At 57.6% G+C, this 12,786-nt stretch overlaps 1 long non-coding RNA gene across 1 annotated transcript; it reads right to left on the reverse strand.

Moving 5' to 3' along the window:
- Nucleotides 1-201: 201 nt before the first annotated feature.
- On the reverse strand, nt 202-12,586 carry LOC105375792 (uncharacterized). The gene is made up of 4 exons (XR_007061194.1): nt 9,868-12,586; nt 9,578-9,743; nt 4,561-4,617; nt 202-597 (listed from the first exon to the last, which is right to left on the reverse strand). It is a non-coding gene; the product is annotated as an uncharacterized LOC105375792 (long non-coding RNA).
- Between the last annotated feature and the right edge of the window lie 200 nt (nt 12,587-12,786).

Consider the following 12,786-nt stretch of genomic DNA (forward strand, 5'->3'; position numbering starts at 1 on the left):
GCTTCTGAGGTTCTCTCCCTCCTCCCCTCACCCTCTGCCCACAGCAATATTCCAGCATTGGTGCAGTGCCAAAATACCAAATAAAATCAGGATGATAGGTAAGGGATAAGAGAATTGTTGATTGGATTTCTTATCCTTTTTTTTCTTTCTGACACTTCAATTATTTCAGTTATGACTTTTTCATATAACAGTTCATAGATTGCAGGGGAACAACTAACCTTTAAATCTCCCATTTAGCACATTACAATAATTTCCTTGGAAATCACAGGTGCTCACGCTATATGACCTACTGCAGGCGCTTCATCAGCAAATTAATGTCGACGTTAATTCAAACTTTGGTGAAAGTGCAAACTTGACAAAGATGAATCCAGCCATTTGCAGTAATGATCAGGGCAGCAGCACAGGCAGGATAGCAGAAGGGGCATCTCTGGGAGAACACCCCGGAAGGCATGGCAGTCCTCTGTATTTTGTCAGAAGTTTCTGTTGACAGCAGGTGTTCCAAGATCAGCCTCCCTGGCTTCAAATTCTGACTCCAACACTAACAGCCACATGGCCTTGGGCAAGCGACTGCCCCTCTTTGGGACTCAGTCTCCTAATCTGTAAAATGAGTAAATATTAGCATCTATCTCATTGTGGGGATTAAATGAGTTGATACATAACAAAGTATTTGGCACAGAGCTGCCATTTATTTAAGGTCAATAAATAGCTTCTACCACTGCAATGATTACCACTGCATTTGCCATTATACCCACTACCACCACCACTATCATCATCATCATCACCCACATAATCTTCACCATCATCACCACCCTCACCACCAGCATCACTATCAACACCACCATTCCCACCAGCACTATCATCACTATTATCATCACCATTAATGTCATCACCACCACCATAACATCACCATCAATACTACCTCATCACCATCATTACCATCACCATCACTATCATCATCTTCATCCATTATTACCACCACTATCGTTACCATCAACACCTCCACTATCACCAGCACCATGATCATGACCCCCACAGGTGTTCCCAGAGCCTCCATCTCATTGCAACTTTCCAGCCCACCAGATCCTAACGTGCCTGGACTCAGGACTCAGCTTAAATGTCTCCTCCTCCGAGAGGCTTCCCCTGACCTCCAATGACACCAGCCAGCCTCTAACCCTTCCAGCATATTCACAGGACGCTGATGGCCTATGCATTGCCCATCTTCTTTCTTTTCTCTCCCAGTTGAGGGAGAATCCTCAAGATCTAGAACACTGTGCCACATATAGAAAATTCTCAATAAACCTTAATGAATGATTGAAAGATCAAAGGAAGATACAAACAAGAAATCCCATTGCCACTACCAGGCTGAAGTTCTGTTCTTTCCTACCTGAATGGGGGACTGGCCATGCCCCCAGCAGGAGCATGGGGGCCCCAGACACAGGCACCTTCAGCTGCCCATGCAGGCCCTCCCTGCTTTGCCCTGGCTGCAAAGCAGTCCGCAGAGCTGTTGTCAACATTAGCCCACGTTAGAGATGAGGAGAGTGGGGCTACTGAGGGGGCTGGGGCTCAGGTCCCATCAGGGCCAGGCCCCTGCTCCTGTCCGCCCAACCCAGACCTTCCCTGGCCTCTCTGAACGTTCCCCTGGGCTCTCAGGAGCCCAGCCCCTCCTCCATGGCCTCTGCCGAAAGGAAGGGCTCCTCTGTGGCCCCACCTCCTCCCCAGGCCAGCCCTACTTAGGCTGTTCCCAGGAGGGGCGGGAAGGGGTGAGAGTGTGATTCTGCCCACCTGGGTTAGGCATTGGTCCACCTCCTGCCACCTGGCTCCCTACCCACCTCCTGCGCCTCCAGCCCTGCGACCTTCCACCTGTGTAGGCTCTGGGAGGAAGAGCTGCACCGTGGGTTGTCACCCAGCATAGGGTCTGCACCCAGTAGGTACACACAATTGAAGCTCAGAGGGGCTCTCTGAATCCCCCTCAGGGCAGGCAAGGTGAAGGATGGACATCAGGTGGAACCCCAGGGCGAGGGCTGCACGGAGGCACAGCCAGGGCGAGGGCTGCACGGAGGCACAGGTGGAGGCACAGATCGTGGTCTGCTTCTGTTCTTGCACTTGCCCTGGGCCAGGGTGTGGCCGGGCTGTCAGGGAGTGGGCCAGGGTGCCAATACCCAGGATCCTGGCAGAGGGAGGGAACCCGACCAGGAGAAGTATCAGGAAGACCTGGGAGAGACCCACAGGAGGGGAGCCCACTCCAGCCAGGCCTACAGAGTTCAAGAGCCCACCTGGGCTCCCCACTGACAAGGGACTCAGCCCTAGCAGCGTTCACCTCCCATCCGGCCATGGGGAGCCCATTGCCACGACATTCCCCAGAGGCAAGAGTGGGAAGTCTCCACTGGGGACACAGGGCAAGGGGCTTCTGGGGCTCCCTGCACCCTGAGATTATGACCATCTGTTTCTCTGACAGTTGCCAACTGGGCTGTAAGGGGCAAGAGCCCCCCAAACTTTAAGGTGCCCTTGGGTCCTGTACACCCCATCGCAGACAGTGCAGGCTGGGATGCGGTGGGTCTGGGCAGGCCCAGGTTCCCAGGGGTGCCGCTGCTGCTGGGCCCTGGACTGCACAGGGTGGCACAGCCTGCTCCTCTGGGGGCCGGGGCACCTGGGCCCTAGCACACTGCGGCACTCGGCAGAGCAAACTGCATAGGATTAGGATTCAGCTTAGGGGCCACCTGGGGAACAGAGCTGGGCTCCCCTTAAGGACTGCTTGTCTGAAGGGGCTCCTGGGACTCTGCAGAAGTCCCAGGGCATCCCCACGAGGGCATCATCCTCATGGGCCAGGATTAGCAGCACAGGCTGCCTGACTGGGCAGTTCTGAGAGTTAGTCCCATCATGAGGAGGTTTTAACAACATCCTGCCGTGATTTGCGGGGAATGGAACGTGGATAGGAGGTTGGGCTGGCACCCGTGCACACGCCCTCCCACACCTGGGCTCCTACCACAACTGGCTATGGAGGCCAGGTGAGCCTGCCTAAGTCCCAGAGTGTTGGGGCCTCCTCACAGCCCTGCCTGACTGACCTCCCAGCTGTGCTTTCCACCAAGGCCACTGCCTCTCCCCACGGTGGCTGCAGGTTCGAGCTCTGCTGGGAGGTGAAGGCAGCTTGTTCACCAGAGCCTCCTCAGGGGCCTGCAGGAGGAAGAGCTCTTAGCAGGTAAATAATGTAATTTATGGGAAACAATACGAAGCTTGTGATGGAGACCCCGGGAACCAGAAGTATCCAGGCTTAGTGCCCAGAAAGGCAGCCAGACCCTCAGGGCAGCTGCGTCCGGCTTCTCCAAGGAAGCATCTCCAAACAGGTGGTGAGGCCTGGAGCTCAGCTACAAGCCCAGGACAGGGCCTTGCTGGGTGGGAACAAGGTAGCCAGGAGCATCCCGTAGCACACACCTGCACATGGCACATGCCTGCATGGCACACTCCTATATGGACTTGTCTGCACACAGCACACACCGGCACAACACATGCCTGTACATGGCACACACCTATGTGTGACACTCACCTACACAGCACACGCCTACAGGGCACACGCCTATAAGGCACATGCCTGCACATGGCACACACCTGTACATGGCACACTCCTATATGGCACACGCCTGCACATGGGACACACCTGCACAGCACGTGCCTGCACAGCACATGCCTATATGGCACACACCTGCACAGCACACGCCTATATGCCACACGCCTGCACATGGCACACACCTGTACACGGCACACTCCTATATGCCACACGCCTGCACATGGGACACACCTGCACAGCACGTGCCTATATGGCACATACCTGCACATGGCACACACCTGTACATGGCACACACCTGTACATGGCACACGCCTGCACAGCACATGCCTATATGGCACACGTCTGCAGGGCACATGCCTATATGACACACGCCTGCACATGGATTCCCACAGTCACCTGCTCATTCATTCACCAAAGTCATCCTGCAGTGGATTAATTCAGTGAAACAATCATTTCCTCAATCATTCATTCAACAACTATTTGATGCCTATTTACTATTGGGAAACATGGTAGGACAGACCGCTCTTAGCCAGGGGGCAGCAAAGGACCCAGGAATGCTCAGACCCCGGGCCTCCCCCATGAAGGCCCATAAGGGAGACACACGCCTTGAGAGCGAATGTCCATGCATCCTCGGCTGGGCTTAAGCCTGGGCCTCCAGTTCAGGTTGTGCAGCTGCTCACTGGGTCCCAGCTGGAGATCTAGAGGCCGTCCCTAAGTCCCAACCAAAAATATGGAGTCTTGACAAACGCCACCTGCCTCAAGAGAGGTCAGGCACCCGACAGACTCCGAGAAGAGCAGTCCCTCCCCAGGCAGTGACTCTACCCACTAGCAAATGAGGCTCCTCGTGGTCCTGGAACCAGAACAAGTCAAGCTCGAATTCCTCTTTGGATTGGAGGCTGCGGGAGGGGTGAGATGGGGACACCTAAGAGCTTGCCCCTCCACCAGAGACCTGCAGTGACCTTGAGTTCTAAGCCCCTGTGAGAAGCCGCAGCACCCACCTGCAGGATCCGGCCCTTCCATTTGAAAGGGATGCTCCAAGTTCTTGTGAAGTTCAGCTGTGCGAGAGCAGAGGAAGGAAAAGATTTGTCAGGAGCCATGAGCAGGGAGTGGCTATCTCAGATGAGGGCGTTAGGGCCAGCTGCCTGGAATGAGAGTGCTTCAGCTGGGCTTTAAGGATGACCAGGGTTTGTGCAGATTTGTGTGAGCTGAAACCTGCTCCAGGAAGAGGGCCTGCTGCATGTGGAAGACCGGGCCGGGAGGCACCAGGCAGACCAGCCGCTGGAGACTCACAGGCTCCGCAGGGAGGCAGCAATGCCAGCAGGAGCTAGATTGTCAAGTCCTGCGTGGGGGGTGGCAGAATGGCTGGTTGTCCCCTTGATTTCCGTTCTCTCCTCTTTCTATAGAAACACAGTTTCCTCTGAGCAATGTCTGCCCAGCCAAAGACCACATTTCCCAGCCTCCTTTACAGCCACATGTGACCGTGGGGGCTGTCCAGGCAGGGTAAAGACAGCCTTGTCCTAGACACGGCTCCTGGGTGCAAGGGATGGAAACTCCAACCAACCTATGCGAGGCCCAAAGGGGAACTGACGGGCTCATCAGGCAGCTTCAGGCACCGGCTGGGCCCTGCAGGCCCCGCTGCTGTCTCTCTCTATCCTGTCTCCTCACCTGAGGCCGCTGAGTGCCGACTTCCTGCTCCTGATGGGGCCTGTCCACAAGGTGGGTACACACACACATTCACACACGTGCAGGTGCCCCACACGTACACACATGCACACGCAAACACCTGTATGGCCCCATGCTCCCCCACACATATGTGCACATGCATGCACACCCACACACTCATTCATGCACACACACACGTATGTATATGCGCACTCACACATGTGCACAAAGGCATGACAAACATGCACACACACATCAATGAACCTAGGCAGACATATACAGGCCCACATATGTGTACACCTGTGCACACGGGCAGTTCGTGCATGCAGAGATACGTGTGCACACACATGCATTATCAGGGGGAACAGCAATGAGTTCAAAGCACAGGCTCCGAGGCCATGCAGACCCCATGCACGCAATTCCTGAGCTGCGGCCAGTCGCCGGACCTCCACCCTCACACCTAGAGAATGGTGACTACGGCATCCACCTCCTGGGGTTCCAATAACAGTCGAAGAAACAATGCATGGAAACCACTCCCAAAACCTGGTGCCTAAATGGCTAACAAGGCCACTCTGCTCTCTCCCCATGCGCTGTGCTCTGCTCTTCCCGGCTCCGGCTCTCTCTGTCTCTGTCATTCTGTCTCTGTCTCTCCCTGTCTCTATCTCTCCCTGTCTCTGTCTCTCCCTGTCTCTGTATCTCCCTGGCTCTGGCTCTCTGTGGCTCTCCCTGTCTCTGTCTCTCCCTAACTCTGACTCTGTCTGTCTCTGGCTCTCCCTGTCTCTGTCTTTCTCTGTCTCTGGCTCTCTCTGTCTCTGTTTCTCCCTGTCTCTGTCTCTCTCTGTTCTCTCTGTCTCTGGCTCTCCCTGTCTCTGGCTCTCTCTGTCTCTGGCTCTCCCTATCTCTGTCTCTGGCTCTCCCTGTATCTGTCTCTCTCTGGTTATGTCTCTCCCTCTCTCTGGCTCTCTCTGGCTCTGTCTCTTTCTGGCTCTGTCTCTCCCTGTCTCTGGCTCTCCCTGTCTCTGTCTCTCTCTGGCTCTGGCTCTGTCTGTCTCTGTCTCTGGCTCTCCCTGTATCTGTCTCTGGCTCTCCCTGTATCTGTCTCTCTCTGGCTCTGTCTCTCTCTGTCTCTGGCTCTGTCTGTCTCTGACTCTCCCTAGCTGTCTCTCTCTCTATATCTCTCCCTGTCTCTGTCTCTCTCTGGCTCTGTCTCTCCCTCTCTCTGGCTCTCCCTGCCACTGTCTCTCCCTGTCTCTGTCTCTCTCATCCCTGGGCTGTCCAGGGCCCTGTGATGACAGCCATTGGGACAAACACTCAGTCTCATTCATCTCAGGTCTTTGTTGGTCCAGGCTCCCGCTTTCTTCCCTTTTGCATCTTTCAGGAGAGTCACACCTGTCACAAGACGCCCAACAAATCCTCGATGATTAAGTGGAAGATCAGCTAGGGATGGGATTGAAAGAGAGTGTCTTTCTTGAGCAGCTACTGAGTATCCAGGCCTGTGATGGACTCTGTCATGTAGAGACAGGGAAGGGGGGCCCTGGAGGGCCTGGGTGTGTCCTGGAAAGGGCAGTGCACAGCGCTGGCCAGTCGGGGGTGATCCACACATGGGATGATCCGGTGAGGTCTGTGGCTCGGCTGCGCTCAGCACATGTGTTAAACGTGAGCTCTGGACCCGGGTCTGCACCGGAGGTGGTGAATGTAGGGATGAGTAGGTCACAGCCCCTCACTTCAGGATGAAGCTTGGTGGGAGAGAAAGAAGGCCAAAGAGTGATAATAGCAGCCAGGTGCAAGGTAACAAGGGGCAGAGGCGGGGAGCCCAGTCCTCTAACCAGGTTCCTGAATGAGGCGGCCTGGCAACAGGGTTTTGAAGGGTAAGTAGGAGTCCTTGAAAAGAGTGTCTTGTGGGATAAAGCCTCTGTGTACACAGACAGGCTGATGATTCACTTCTCACAGAGGCTGAGTCGTCGCCCAAGCTTACACCACTCTTAAATGGCAGAGCCAGGACTCAAACCCAGGTCTTTCCAGTTGAAACATCCATACTCTGAACATGCCACTAGCTAGGACATCCCTTTGTAACTTCCACAAACCTGTCCTTGTATAAGGGATCCCAGTGATCCCCTCCCCCGCACTCTAGAGCCACTTTCCTTGGGTGAAGGGGGCTGCAGTCTGTGGGGAACCTCCAGGTTTAACGTGAGGGGCTGTGGCCACTGCTGTCTCTTCCCACCAGCCCCCTTTCCTGGGTGGACCTAGCTCCCAACCTGGGTCCCAACAGTCCTCTGCTCTCCAGCTCCCAGGTCAGGAGAGAACCCTTCCTCACACCTGGCTCGTGCTGGGCCCTGTCCCTGAGCGGGGTCTACAGGGGACACACTCGGGGGCAAACCACCAGGGGTCCCCATGAAGGCAGCCTCAGCACTGGCACCATCTGTTTCACAGTGAGGACTCAGCCCAGGGATGGAACTACAGCCAAAGCCATGAAAGGAAGATGAAGAGCAGGAAGGAGGGAAGGAGGAGGGAGAGGGAGGGAGGAGCAGGAGGGAGGGAAGGAAGAGGGAGAGAGAAGAGTGAGAGGGAGGGAGGAGCAGGGAGGGGGAGGAGCAGGGAGGAGGGAGGAGCATAGAACAGGGAGGAGCAGAAGGGAGGGAGGAGCAGGGAGGAGAAACGAGCAGGAGGGAGGGGAGAGCAGGGATGAAGAGGGAGTGGGAGGGAGGAGCAGGGACGGGGAGGAGCAGGGAGGGGGAGGAGCAGGGAGGAGGGAGGAGCAGAAAGGAGGGAGGAGCATAGAACAGGGAGGAGCAGGAGGAAGGGAGGAGTAGGTAGGAGAAACGAGCAGGAGCGAGGGGAGGGCAGGGATGAAGGAGAGTGGGAGGGAGGAGCAGGGAGGGGGGAGGAGCAGAAGGGAGGAGAGAGCAGGGAGGAAAAAGGAGCAGGAGGGAGGGGAGAGCAGGGAGGAGGAAGGAACAGGAGAGAGGAGAGAGCAGGGAGAAGGGAGGAGCGGGAGGGAGGAGAGAGCAGGGAGGGAGGAGTGGGGGACTGGGCTCACTGGTGCAAAACGGAGCCACTCTGTGGGAGCCAGTAAACTAAGCCCAAGCAGAGAGCTGGGCACCCCGCCTTTCCCTCCCACCCTCAGCCACCCCCCACTGCCATGCACCCTGACCCAGTTGGAAGCGCGCTGGGAGGTGCCTTTGTCATCAGGAGCCCAGCCCAGCCCACAGCAGCAGACAACAGAGGCCTCCTGACCCACAGTTAACCCCACCCGGGCCTCGGGGACCCAATCTGCTCTGTGCCAGCTTCAGGCCCACCTGGCCTCCGGCTCCAGACTCTGCCGGCTGTCAAAATGCCCACCATTAGCAAGAGTGTCTCCCCCACTCAGAGGTCAAAGAGACGACGGATGCCCCAGACTCATGCATCGCATGGGCCACACCGGCTCACGTCTTCATTTTACAGAAACCAAGAAACGCACATCCAGATGGTGGCCCGCCTCCCGCCAGCCTGGATCCTGGATCACAGCCTACACACGGGACCAGCCGCCCCGCCACCCTGCAAGGCAACACCACACTCCCAGAAACTCGATGACCTCAGGCTCTGAGAGGCCCGTCTCCTGCCCTAGGTCACACAGCTGGCCAGGGCAGCCAGGATCTGAACAGGAACCACAAGCTCTCCCCAGGGGGCAGCCAGATAAGGAGGGTATTGGCCATGGTCATGCCCCAGCCTCCTGGTATCGGTCCCCGTCCCTTCCTCACCAATGTCCTCAGCCCAGGACCCAAGGAGGGCCTTCAGGGGGAGGGCAGCAGGTCAGCATTGGGGCCCGTGAGGGTCTCCAGGACACAGCCACTTTGGGACCACGGACAGGACCTGCTAAGTGTAACGGAATGCAGGGCCCTTGGGCCCTCTGTGGTCTGGTCTCTACTGACTGCGCCCCAAAGCAGGGCACCTCCCACATGCAGGCGCAGCCCCTCCCTCTGCATCCGCTCACCCTGACCCACGGACGGAATCCCACCATTCCTCCCCACACCTTGGCCCCTCCTCCCAGCTCTGAGCTCCTGCCTGTCTGGCAGTACAAGGTGCCCTTTTGGCTTTGAGAGAGGACACACATAAAGTGTGCTCAGTAATAGCACTTGTCAGCTCCCTGATGGGAGATTTCACAGAGGAGGGGGGCTTCAAGTCGGGTTTTGAAGAATGTGTAGGAGTTCACCAGGGGGTTCAGAGAGCAGGTGAGGGGCATTTTGAGTAGAAACAAAGAGGCAGGAAATATTCAAGGAAGGGAGAGGAATGAGACAGGCTTGTGCAGAGGGCCTGGCATGGGGGTGTGGAAGGTGACAGCCTCTTCGGCCTCCGAGTGTCAGGCCAAGGACTCACCAGTGTGAGCGTCAGAGGGGCCTCGGAAGGTCAGAGGAGGTTGGCGGTGGAGGGTCAGGCTCGCCATTCCAAGGGGGACCGGGCCACTGCTGTGTGACGGGGCTTGGGCTGGATCCATCCGGAGGTGCAGCCAGGGCCATGACGGGGAGGATGATGGACAGGAGGGCTGTTCAGGGGGCAAAAATAAATGGAATGCCTTTTTCTCGTGCCTTTGATGGATCCAAAGTCACTTTGTTAACATAAGAACATAAAAACGTATAATGCGTGGCTTGATTTGTACATAAAATTACCATGTTTGGTCTATTTGGAGAAAGAAGGCCTGCCAGGGGCAGGAGCCGCACGGGAGGGGCACTGCTTCTCCCCGAGGGTTTCTTTTGCTTCTTTTTCAGGTCTCTGCTGCACAGGTGCCTTGTTCATGTGGGGTGCTCCAGCCCGTCAGGGGTCAGAGGTTGGAGGTCAGCCCAGCCGCCGGGCAAGAGGCCCCCTCTTCCCTGTGGGGTGCCCCTCCTTGCTCATGGCCTGACCAGTGTGGGGAAGGAGAGGGGGCCCCTCAGAAGCAGGACTGGGGTAGATGGATGACAGCTTTATCCACACTCGACGCCGGGGTCGCTCCACCCTCTCCCCAGCTGTCCCCAAGGGCAGGGGCCTTGGTGCCTGGTCAGGTGTTCCCTTGGCCTCCCACCCTCCAGGGCTCCCTGACCCCCACCCCACCCCCTGCTTTGAGGTCCATCCCGGCACCAGCCCCCTAAGGTTTTCGTCTGATCCCAACTCAGAAGCCTGGGGTCACCGCATTCCCGTTGCCCCGCGCCCTGCCTGGAGCAAAGATGCCTGCTGCACACACGCCAGGCCCTGCCAGCGCCCGCACGAAACAGCTCGGCTCCTCCTCCTCAGCAGAGCTCAGGAGGCAGATGAGACTCTTATGCCCCCTCAAAAGACAAGGCACCCAGAGGCAAGGCCACTCCCATGAGGGCACCCCGCTAACGAGGGCAGGGCTGGAGCTCCATCCAGGGCCACCTGCCCTGCAGAGCTACGCTGACCCTGTCCCACCTGCGAGGGCGTCCAGGGCTTGGGGCCGGGCCCTGCTCTGCCCCTGCTTCTCTAGTTCGTCCTCACCCTGCCCAGCTGGCACAGCATCTGCAGGGTGGAAACTCACACTCCTGGGCACCACGGGATGCAGCCCAAGCCCAGCCTGGTGGTGACACCCTTGAGGTGTTTGGGGTCGGCGATGTGACATTGCTGGCTCTGTAGGTCAAAACTGTGAAATGCTGGCGGGTTCACGTGATTCGTCCTGAAGTCCGGTAGGGGACCTGAGAGCCTCTGCCTCGCCCCGCACTGTCCCCATCATCTTCTGACCCCCCGCAGGGCTGGCCACCCTCCAGGAGTCACACCTCTGTGCTCTGGAACCAGCAGTGAACCTCCAGGAGTGCCATCCCTCAGTGCAAAGACACTGCCCTGATATCCAGAGATCCCCCAGGTCCCCTCCCATGGCCGTGCTGCCCTCAGCTCCCATACCTGGGCCCAACCCCCCACTGCATGCCCTCGGCTCCCCAGCGCCCTCAGAGCCCCAGCACATGGCGGGTGCCCCAGGAGTCCCTGGAGGGCAATGGAAGGCCTCCTAACCCAGGCTGCTGACCCAGTCAGGGTCCAAAGCCAAACCCAAGGATGAAGGTGTCGGAGAGCTGGCAGCCAGGAGCAGGTGGAAAGGCCAGGGTGGCAGAGCCTGAGAGACAGAGGGAGACAGGGCTGCCGGGCTCATGGAACAGGCCCAGCCCCTGAGTAGCAGCCTCGAGCAGCTGAGCCCAGAGAAAGATGTTGAAAGTCAGCCCGTAGCAGGCAGGGCAAGGGCCTGGGAGGAGAGGGGCCAGACCCCTGCCTGGGTGGGACCTCTTCCCAGAGCCAACGGCACTGCTGCCCCTCGGTGTGGCCTCTGAGCCCCGCTGTAAAGCAAGTGACACCCACCTGGTAAGGACTGGTCAGCGCCGAGCAGGGTGGCCCGGAAGCTCATGGTGCACATCCACGCAGCCACCACATCCCATCCTGTCCCAGGAAGTCACAGGTATTTCCCATTCTGTGGACGGCAGCCGAGGCTGGAGGAGGAGAGACCCGGCAGGCTCCAGGCCCCGCCTGCCAAGCACCATGCTGTACTGCCCACAGTGGCCAGCGTCCCTCAGTGTCCAGCAGCTGCAGGAGACCTGTGGAAGCCCCAGGAAGAGGCCTCAGGGCGTGCCTGGCTGGGCCCTCTCTATCTGAGTCCACTGCATCTTGCATGAAGGTTCCTTGGGAATCCTGGGGAGACCTGGGAAGTTCATTGGGAGCTCTGGATGCTGAAGGCCAGGAGCTTGGGCCGGGTGGGGAGGGCGGTGCAGGGGCTGGGGGGCTTGCCAGGGTCTCCTAGCACAAGCCACCCAGCTCCCGGCAGGTGGAGTCAAATAGACGTGTCTCCTCCACCGCCTCCACCCTCCCAGCCGAGGGCCCAGACCCCATATTGGCTCTCTCAGGGCCTCGGCCTCCTCTTGCCCTCCTAGAAAAGGCCCTGAAGAGGGAATTCTCATGGCTCCCTGGCTCTCCTCAGCGACTCCCTCCCACAGCAAGCAGGCCTGGAGCACCAGCACCTGACCCTCTGGGAAGCAAGCAGGTGGGAGCAGGGAGGGCGAGGCTCCCAGCCACCCCGCTGCTGGTGGAAAGCCTGGGTCTGAACCCACATCTTCCACAGTATGAAGGAGGCTCGATCAATTCCGGAAGATGCTAGACTTCTTCCAGAAATTCCAGCCCCAGATCCTGCCTCTTGCCTCCTCCCCAGAGCCTTGTTTCACAACATGATTGAACCGCCCCATTATTTAATAAAACTGTCAGAACAACTGATTTGTGCGATGTACATGGTTCCCTTTTTTTGCTCTTCTTTCTTTCCAGATTCAATAAACCCTGAAGTTGTTCCAAGAAGACAGGCGAGTGATGGGAAGCATCAATTTCCTGAGGACCAGCCCGGCTGCACAGGACAAGCCGCACTGAACCCAGTGGGGAGCCACCCCTAGAAAGGCCAGGGCAGCTGCTTATAGGGAGGCAACAACCACCCCTGCATGTGGAGGGTAGGAGAGGAGGTGGCAGGGAGTGAGTGCAACCAGGGAAAGCTTCCTGGAGGAGGAGACATCAGGATTCTGTCTTGACGCACTAACAGGAGTTTGCCGATGGAATAGAGGTGCAAGAGAATT

This window comes from Homo sapiens, chromosome 8 (genome assembly GCF_000001405.40).
Source record: "Homo sapiens chromosome 8, GRCh38.p14 Primary Assembly".
NCBI classification, from domain to species: Eukaryota; Metazoa; Chordata; class Mammalia; order Primates; family Hominidae; genus Homo; species Homo sapiens.